Here is a 10,824-nt window from a genome sequence, read left to right as displayed (position 1 = left end):
TAATATAGCATGACAGAAACAGCAATGGCATTTTCAAGAAAGATTACTTAGACCCCTTGGCTGAAACTTAGTGCACACTGGGGAGCTGGGAAAAGATGTAGTCAAAGGAGTGTATGAGATTCAGATTATGGGGGTTCTTATGAATAATGTGCATTATTCAGGGTTATTCACTTCAAATAATATAAACTAGCACTAGGCAGCTAGTAAGACAATGGATTCATAGGATGTTGGACAATGCCTAGCATCACTGGAATGGCTAGATGACCAGCTTATACAATGGGCAGGAATGAAGGGAGGCCATGTACCAGAAACAAAGTGACCTCTTGCTACAATCCCAAGTGCTCAGTTGGATGCTATATTCTACTTCCGGTCTGAACATTTGATGCACCTGGCACCTTGGTACAGAATTTCCTATACTCTACAGCTTTGAATCAGCCTTTAAAAAGTCAAAGCATCATGTTGGATTGCCCAACTGACAATGCCTAGATAAAGCTTCTTCCAAGGACTATAGCAAGGACAATTTGACCATTTCAGACTTAGCAGAAAAAGGGGATGAAACTCTCTTCTTCCAAGTACTGTAGCAGAGAAAATATGACCATTTCAGGCTAAATAGGAGAAGGGGATGGAGCCCTGATTTCACTCAATGTGCGCCTGTGAGAGAACCGCCCCCCCCCCCCATACCAAGAAGCAAAGCGTGCTCAAGTTGTCTCTACAACCTAAAAAATTATTAGATTGTTTTATGAAAGAAAGTCATTGTAGAATTTTAAGCAGGAGTGTAATGTCATCTGACAGTCACTTTGAGAAGATATCTCTCACAACTGGATAATAAGGGATTGAGAGTAAAATTAGGAAGATTTCTTAGGAAGCAATCGGGGATCCACATGAAAAATCATGGTGGCTTGAAATAGGCTTTGTCATTGAAGCTGGAAGGCAACAGACAGATACAGGATACATTTTGGAGGGTGAACCAAGAAGATATTTTGATGGCTTGGGTGTAGGGTAAATGTGAGGGATAATAAAAATTCAAGAAATAATCTGCTATTGTAGCTGATGTTTTGGTGAACTGGGAAAATGGTGAGCCATTTACTGCAACTGGAAAGTCTTGGAGAAGAACACTTTAGGTACCTTGTATAGAAAGAATTGAATCAAAATTTGGTTTTGAAAATGTGCTTCTTGAGTTTGAAGTGCCTTTTTTGAACTGTCATGGAGGTATTAAAGAAGCAGTATAGTAGCAGATCTGCATGCCATCAGAAAAAGCCAAAATAAGGACATGAAGCTGAACACAATTAGCATATTGACTATCTCAATTGTCATAGGACTGGATAGAAAATGGGTAGAAAATAGAAGCAATGGGCTGAAAGAGAGCTCTGGGACCATCCAGCCAAGAAAAAGAAAGAAAAGAAAAACAACAGTTAATGCTGACAAGAAGTGGCCCATAAGGTAAGGTGAGGTCAAGAACAGCTTGGTATTATGAGTTTCATAAAAAAAAGCAAACCAAACCAAACAAAGCAAGCTCTTTCAATTAAGCAAGGAAGGTCAAGTGTGTTGAGTATTCCTTCAAGGGCAATTAGGATGAAAGCAGAGGCATGCATTTTTAACTTCTCTTATGCCAACGGTATCCTGGAAAAGATGACTTTTATTAGTGTGGTGGGGATAGAAGGTATATTAGAAAATTGATCAAAAAGAAAAATTTGGAGAGGGGAACTACACGTATTCTAGATAATTTCTTCTGTAAATGGGGGAAGCAAAAATAGACAATGAAGCCAGCTGTGGTGGTGCATGCACAGCTGAGTCATTGTGACTCAGGAGGCTGAGGCAGGAGCATTGCTTCAGCCCAGGAGTTTGAGGTTGTCGTGCTCTATGATTCCACCTTTGAATAACTACTTTGTTTCAGTCTAGGCAACATAGCAGAATGGTGTCTCTAAAATAATAAAATTAAAAAATAAGAAAGTGAAGAGATGATGTGGAGGCTGAAGAGAGGAAAGGTGAGGAAGAGTGAAAACATTGGAGAGTCAATGGGTTGAAGAGCATTCAGGAGGCTCAATTCTCCAGGGAAATACTAGAGCAAATGGAGTGCAGGAACAAGGGATGGTGATCAGAGAGAGCAGGACTTGCAATGGATTTTAGAGGAGATGCAGGCATTGTTAATCAGAAGGTCTATGACATGAGGATGGAAGTGGAAGCTGGTGTCAGCTGGAGATGAGGATTGAGTAGAGGTGAGACAGATCATTTCTTATTTATTAATTGATTGAACATCTGTTATGCAAAGACACTGTGGGAATACTAAAAAATTATATTACAGCCCTGCATCCATTTGTTTGGTGGAGATGTAAGAATTGCACCTAAAAGCTTAAAACTAAGTCTTCAATGTTTGTCATCAAAGAACAAAGAACCTGAAGTTCTTGAGCTCATTTTCTCTTCTTGGCTATGTTGTGATGTAGAAATACATGATAATCCTTTAGTCTTCTCCACATAATGGAGGGCATTAGGCTATGTGCTCAATGTCTTGAAAGTATGAAAAATATCCAGAATATATTAGGTTGGTGCAAGTGTAATTACATTTTTTGCCATTGAAAGTAATGGTGAAAACTGCAATTACTTTTGCACCAACCTAACATTTTCGGCATCTACATTCCAATGTAATCAACAATTAGAACCATTAGGAATTTCACTTTCTGTGCACCTCCTTTATGGAAATGTACTTTGTTATGAGTGATAACGATCTTAGGGCCACATAGGCTGCCCCCTCTTCCCTGCCCTACATTTAATAATTGGAAAAAAAAATTCCTTGGAGATATGGGGAGGACTTCCACCAAGTAAGTGGCAGAGCCAGGACTGCAGCCTGTGCATGGACCTCAGCCTCACATTCCTGATCAACATTGCACCTAGGAAGGCAGACAACGCCCCTGAACTCCCTTCCCCTCTCCAGGCCTGAGTAGCTGTGATTTGGACCAGAAAGTTGTGTCAAAAAAAGTGGTTTTCGGATGATATCAGTTGCATTGTTTTGTGTAGGGACATAGTGAATATGACCATAGGCAGAAACATCAGTGATAAAATCACGTTTGTGTGTGTGTATGAAAGATGGAGTCTCACTCTGTTGCCCAGGCTGGAGTGCAGTGGCACCATCTTGGCTCACTGCAACCTCCGCCTCCCAGGTTCAAGCAATTCTCCTGCCTCAGCCTCCCGAATAGCTGGGACTACAGGTGTGTGCAGCACTATGCCCGGCTAATTTTTTGTATTTTTAGTAGAAACGGGATTTCACCATGTTGGCCAGGCTGGTCTCGATCTCCTAACCTCGTGATCCTCCTGCCTCGGCCTCCCAAAGTGCAGGGATTACAGGCATGAGCCACCGCGCCCAGCCGACAAAATCTTTTTTAATTTATGAATAATGACGTTCATTCTAACAAAACCTCACTAACAGTATGACTTTACAAATAAGCACTAATTCCTTTCCCTAGGCATCATTTTACAAGAAATCTAAACCCCATACTGCATCACTCAACATAAGACTCCCCTAAGGATCTCTAAAATGGTCTTATTTATGTTTTCTGTTTTGAAAAAAAAAGTTAATGAGCAAAAATCATGGTTAAAACAATAAATTTTAAAATATTCAGATCTGTCAAATGAGAGTGCTTGTGTTGTAAAAAATCTAAAGTACAGCATTCGAGGTAAAAGCTTTGTTACAGGGGAACCTGTGATTACCTGCAGCAGTGCTTCAATTTGCTAAGGCTTTAACCTCATGCCTAAGTCAAACTATAGGCAACCTTTAGTTATTTATGTGATGATGTATGTACGTATTGTGACAGAAAGCTGCATCCAATTATTTAAGCATAAGGTCAAAGCTTTCCATCTTAGATTCTGACAAAATATACTGACATCATAAACGAGCAAAATATTTTATATTTTTTAACAAAACAAGCAACGTATCTGTTAATTTATGTGAATGTGTGCACTTAGAAATTCTATGCACGTATGACACTAAATCAGTCTAGATGTTTTTCCCCAGTGCCATTTAAAACTAAAAGTAGAAGCTGACACATTGATCACATGAGTTCAGTTCAATGGACAGTCTGTCGTCCATGTGCCATGGTCACAATGTGCCCCCGAAATTCACATGTGGGGGGCTTAATCTTCAGTGCCGGGAGGTGGGACTTTTGAGGGTAATTAGGACATAAGGGCTCTGCCCTCCTGAGCGAATTAATGGCCTTAAAAAGACTTGAGGAAGGAGATGTGTCCACTTTTCTCCTTTTCCACATTCTGCCACGTGAGCATGCAGAAAGAAGGCCCTCAGGAGACGCCAGCACCTTGACCTTAGATTTTCCAGGATCCAGAACTATGAGAGATAAACACATTTCTCTTCTTTATAAATTAACTAATCTCGGGTGTTCTGCGATAGAGGCACAAGTGGAGAAAGAATGTAAAATATACTCTGTAGAAGAGGGTTTTTTTCTTGTCACATAAACATAGGTTTTTAAAAAACAGTGTTAATAGCTGCATAGGAAAGCCCTAGACATACATAAACAGACATATTCAAATACCAACAAGACAAACACTTTTCTTAGACCAAAGAGACAGATATTTCTCAGAGGGCTTTAAAATATCTCAGAGACAATGTATATGTATTATCATTCCTTTCATAAAATTACTTGTTGGCTTTCTGAGATATCATGTAATTAAAGATCTGAGATATCCATTTAAAAGGGAGAGCCTAATTCTGCAGAGCTAAAAGGACCGAGGAGACAGTATTGACAAGAAATGTGCAAGATCTTAGGATTACTTAGAAAATAATAAAAAAGGGGAATATAAAAGAGAAATAAATAAAGTTTTATAGGGCACGTTTCTTGTAAAGGAAATGGATGTTTCTCTATAAGCCTTGCTTAGAGAAGCATCTCTTGTTATTCAGTGACTGCCATGCAAGTGCTCTATGCTGAGCACTGCGATGAATATTGATTACCTACCGTCCAAAATAACTCTGTAACTTACTGCTCCTCGGTTTTACAGATAAGGATATGAAAACCCTGAGAGGTTAAGTCACTTGCCCAAGTGAAGACATTCCACAGTGAGTGCGTTCAGAGACAGGCTAGAAAACCTGGGTTTCAAGCGCAACAGATTTTACCTCTTCATCACACCTCAATGGAAGTCATATTCTTTTAGTGTCTCCACCAAAATTATAACAGTTTCTCAGTAAAAGATAACAGCTAGAATAAAGATCAACACTAAAATGCTCTGTGGTAAATAGAAACCAACTCTCAAGTAGTGGGGAGACATAAAACCTGGTACACCATGTCCTCACACCTCTGTCACCACCTCCCCAAACACAATGTACTACCGTGAAACGGCGAGAGGGTAACTGCAATAAACTCCCACCTAGAAAAGGGAAAAATGGAAGGTGAGCAGCAGGACCTGGTCCATGGCAAGATGAATTCTGGGAGGAGCCCCCACCTGGGAAGTGGGGACATCTTTGAGTGGGTGCTGACTCTTCTCTCTGAGCAGAACAATCTTTCCATTTTCTCGGTTGCTCCCGGCTGTCCTCAATGGGGGCTGTTTCTTGCTCATTATCCTTGTGGCCTCTTAGTGGATATTGAGGAATGCCTCCCCCTTAAGAGAGAACAGATTCCATAGCTGAGTTCATGCTGATGCCCGTTTGGACATCCGAACATTGTTTTAATGCCAGTCCATCAAAGGCTCCTGATTTTGTTAGCAGCACTGTTCTTCCAAAAAACTGGTAGACATCTGACATATTTTCTTTCAGTCAGTTTCTTGTGGCAGTAAGTGCATCAAATTCTTTGTTAGACATAATTCTCAAGCCTAATTTATTCCATTGCTTGCTTATCTCAACCTAGGGTAAAAGACACTAGAGAAAATAATCTCTAAATATGTTGCAAAGAGAAATAATCATTATAATCTGGAATGTATGGAATGGCAAGCCACCCATGCATTCAGTGAGGGAAGGAAAAAGGGGAAATTTATTTGCAAAAACGAAAAAGAAATTTACATAAACCAGTTAGAAAGAGATTTCATTGGTTCCAGAGGTTCCAAGCCCAAGTTGTTGTCAACTCATTGGTGGAGATGCCATTACTAGACAAGTGATCATCTGAGAATGTCTTATCTGAATCACTGTGGCACTAAAGAATGTCTAGTGATAAATTTATCAAAGCAGGAGGTGCATGAAGGGTTTTTAGAAAGTCATTGGAAAGAGTTCTTATCTTTGACATGTAAGCATGAGCCTCCTCTCCTTCAGCCTCTCCTTCCCAGCCCTGTTTTGTCTGGGTCTGACAAAAGTGCTTTCATCTTGGTATCTGCAACTTCAACACTTTTCCCCACATCTCTTTCACTCAGCTGAATGATGGTCAATTGAAATTATCAGGCCTAAAGCCCCCATGTGACCTTTCTATTGGGTGGAATTTTAATGGCCTTTTGCGTGTTTGCTGTTCTCAACTCTTTCCTAATCAAAATTTCTACCCTTTGAAGTCAACAAATAGAAACACAAATTTTTGAGGTACCAAATTACTCTCCCTTTTCTTTTCAGGTTTCCTTGCATGCTTTTTTCCCCCCCTGAGCTTATTCTTTTCCCTAAGATTTTGTTAGACACAGTCAATAATTGCCAAAAACCACGTAGCCTTGTCCTCCAACACCTCACCGCTAAAACTATAGGCTCCATTAGCACATAATTTGCCTTACAAATGGCATAAATAGTATTTTTACTAAATCTTTTGCTACTACATAACATGGACATCCATCTTTCCAGTTTCTGATAACAGTTCTTTGCTGACGACTTTTGGCCCATTAAGCTAAAGCTACATATTTTAAGTTATTGCTATGTCAGCACCTTCCATTTAGTGTTCTTTCTTTATTAATGTAACACCAGATGCCCATTGGAGGAGTCTTGCACCATGCAGAAATGACCAGGCCCTTATACCTTCTCCTTGTTCAGTCACTATGTGGCTGATGCCCCAAGAAGAGGGTCCCCTCAGTGACCAACCTCTTGATTATTATGTGGACAGGGGTACTCTGAGAAGATGATGGCTTTGGCTGGGAAGCTGAGGCAGACTCAGCTGGGGAACTGTCAGACAGTCATACTCCTCCAAGCTGGGTAGGGTGTCCTTTCATGAAGGGGGTCTGAGCAATCCATTGCTGTGTCTGCCATGGCTCTGTTCAGAGACCCATTGATGAGGAGGCTCTGCCATCTTCAACACTAGATCTCCAAGTTTCCCTCAAGCACTGACATCTAGCTATTGAAGATGAGAGAGAAGGGGAAGGTATTTGTGGCTAATGCAGAAATGGAGTACATCAGTTCTGTCAACGTCCATTTGTTCACATGGCTACAACTCACTGCAGGGGATGCTGAAAATAGAGTCTAACCATGAGCCCAGGATGAGTGTGGAAAAAGGAGCAAACAGCCAGCCAGTCTCGCTAAATGTTTGAAATCAGTCATTCAATTTACAATTGAGTTTCTCATAAATTGGCAGATGCCTGCATCATTCTTGAAGACTCTTCATTAATATTTTAAGATCTCTTTTCCTTTCTTTGAAGGGAGTCTAGATGTTCTGTTAGAATTTATTTTTCAATGTGAGTTTATTTTGTCTATTATTAGAAATCAAGTATACCAAGTTTTATTGACTAAACATCATGTCTTAATATGTTGATAAAAATAATATATGCTTATGACTAAATATGAGAAACAAAATATTTTCAATAACAAATACTATCCCTCTGCTCCCTGATCTAACCCTCTTTTCCCAAACCCTAAATAGAGCCCATTTTTGCTCTTTTAGTTCTTTCGTTTTTTGCCTTACATCGCTAGACAATATTATTATTTTAAATTACCACATGTAAACGTCATCTCCTTACCTCTTTTCATGCTTTCCTTGGTTGCTTTTCCCATATCTCCTGGCCATCTTTCCAGTGCAGTTATATTTATTTCTCTTTATCCATGCAAGTCACTGCTCAAGGTACTTTATATTTTTAATTTTTAAGTTGTCACAACCTGCCAATGTGATGATATTACTGCCCATTTTAGTGACCTGGACTGGTTTCTCCAGAGCCTGGTTCCTTTCCTAGAGACTCTGCTTTGATCCTTCTCTTCAAGTAGGGTTTGCTCTTCCCTTAGACTTCTCCCCAAACTCTTATTCTGAAAATTCTTTGGACTGCTCTCCACAGGCAGACCTAGGACTGCCCTAGTCCTAGGTCCAGGGTTGGTTTCTTGCTTATAAAGGTATAAAGGTATATATTTTCTTCATTTTTGCATTTCCAATAAGGTTTGTATTCTGCCATCAGATTTGATTTATAATTGGCTGATAGTCAAATCTAGAATATCCATGATTCTGTGCTTTATTGACCTTCAGTATCTGGTGTGAAATGGTTAAGTACAGTGTCCTTCAGCCTCTCATTTCTATGTGAGAGAACTATTTTCATTGGGAGGATTTTATTTCTTTTTTCCAGTCTTTAAGATCCTTTTTTTATCTTCAAAGTTTTGAAGAAAAAAAATGTCATAATTTCTATTTGGGTTGTATTTGGAGAGGCTTTTTAATAAAATATTTGTGTCCTTTTGATAGTTTCTCCATTTCCTATTTTTTTTTTCTGGAACTCTTGTTAATCAGATGGTGAACATCTTGATTAATCCTCTCTGTATTAGTTTCACAGAGTTTGAGGTATATGGTTATGGCAGCCCCAATAAACTGGGTGGAAGAAAACAATAAAAAATATATTTCTGACTTCTACCCTCCAGGACTAGGAGAAAATAAAACTTCTTCTAGCTTCTGTTATTTACTGGCGGTCCTCATAGTTCCTTGGCTTGCAGACTGATCATTCCAAATTATGCCTCCATTGCCACATGACCTTGGTTCATTTGCACATCAGTGTTTCTGTGTCTCTTCTCTTCTAATAAGAATAATAGTCATATTAGTTTAAAAACCCACCCTACGCCAGTATGACCTCACTTTAATTACATCTGCAACAACCCTATTTCGAAAAAAAGTCACATTCTGAGGTTCTTGGAGTTGGGGTTAGGCCCTCCAGATATCTTTTTAGAGAACACAGTCCACCCCATAACATTCTCTTTCTATATTCTATTTTATTTTTATTCTTGTCATATTTCTGTTACTTCCTTTTTTAATTCTATCTTGTGTGATTTTTTTTTTTCTTCACTCTGTTTTCACACCTTTTCTGGTATTTTTACTTGAGCAATCAGATGCTTAATTTGTAGCAGCTCTTTTCCCATTTTTAATTGCTCCCTTTCCTGGATTTTTTTCACTCAAATATTCCAAATACTCTCTTGAGAAAAATATAAAAATTTTATTTCTGCTTTGTTGAGTTATTTTTGTTTCGTTTTGTTTATCTTCTATCCTTTTTTATTCTTAGAAGTTCTCCTCAAATCTTGGGTGATTATTAGACTCTTCATTTTTAAGTACCAGATCTTAGAAGGTTGTCACCAGCCTATGTGCATGGGAGAAACTTGTGCCAGTTGTATTTTCTGGTTGGTATATTTACTTTCCCACTCTTTTCACCATTGTGTTTTATTTATGTATTTATTTATGTATTTATTTATTTATTTTGCTATGTTGCTATCATTAGACTGGGATCTCAGGCTGGGAAAGAGTCTAACAAAATTGTGATGGATTGGTTGTGTGGTCTCCATCTACAATAACTGTTCTATACATATTTCTGAGGATTCTGAAAAGAAAAAAGATACTGAGAGAAATACCCTAGTCCAAGCATACAATTTAAGTTAATCTCCAATACTTCTTGCTTATTCTCAGTGGAAAAAATAGGACATCACAACCTTGAAATTGTTGACTGGTTGTTTTACAAAACTCTACTATGGGCCGGGCACGGTGGCTCACGCCTGTAATCCCAGCACTTTGGGAGGCCGAGGCAGGCGGATCACGAAGTCAGGAGATCGAGACCATCCTGGCTAACACAGTGAAACCCCGTCTCTACTAAAAATACAAAAAAATTAGCCGGGCGCGGTGGCGGGCGCCTGTAGTCCCAGCTACTCGGGAGGCTGAGGCAGGAGAATGGCGTGAACCCGGGAGGCGGAGCCTGCAGTGAGCCGAGATCGCGCCACTGCACTCCAGCCTGGGCGACAGAGCGAGACTCCGTCTCAAAAAAAAAAAAAAAAAGATCTACTATGAATCCATGTTGGCTTCCTAATTTTCACATATTATCAAGTGTTAATCAATTCAGTGTTTGACACTCAACAAAATGTTTTGAAAAACACAACTAGAAAATTAAGATTTGATTCAAAAGAGATTCTTATTACTGGAGTTCCCTCATCAGATGGACCAAGTTTATTTTACCCATCAAGGTAAATGATTGCTTTAATAGAGGGATCCTCTTCAGACATTTAAAGAGAAATGCTACCACATGGAGATTTTAGTTATGTTTTTCTGCAGTTCTACTCAGGTAATGATGTTATAAACCCTCAAGTGCTTTCTGCCTTATGATAGGAATGAAGGAAGATCAAGCTAACATAGTCTCATCTGCAGACTCTTCTGTTAATTGAAGATGGGGACTTCCATTTTACTCCCAACAAGGAAATACTATTTTGAGGGTCAGTTATGTATGGTTTCACAAACAATTTGCCAAGCTTACTTTGATTAACGATGTTAATATTATCCACACAGGTTACTTAAAAACATTCTCGGTTATCTTGAAATTAGAGGAGACATAGCATGAGTGAAATTATCACAGACTTTGGGCCTGATGTGAAAACAAAGTTGAAATTAATTAATTGCTAATTGCAAAGATAAAAGATGCCAGGCATGGTGGCTCACATCTATAATCCAAGCACTTTGAGAGACCAAGGCGAGTAGATTGCTTGAG

At 39.2% G+C, this 10,824-nt stretch overlaps 1 annotated feature.

Moving 5' to 3' along the window:
• Window positions 1,215-2,414: an enhancer, noted in NCBI's record as "MED14-independent group 3 enhancer chr2:4827862-4829061 (GRCh37/hg19 assembly coordinates)". NCBI's record gives its function as "activates an origin of replication core promoter dependent on BRD2, BRD4, P300/CBP and CDK7 cofactors, and independent of MED14, by STARR-seq in HCT116 cells {active_cell/tissue: HCT116}" and the evidence as "EXISTENCE:reporter gene assay evidence [ECO:0000049][PMID:35650434]".

This window comes from Homo sapiens, chromosome 2 (assembly GCF_000001405.40).
Source record: "Homo sapiens chromosome 2, GRCh38.p14 Primary Assembly".
NCBI classification, from domain to species: Eukaryota; Metazoa; Chordata; class Mammalia; order Primates; family Hominidae; genus Homo; species Homo sapiens.
This window is presented reverse-complemented; position numbering and strand designations above follow the sequence as displayed.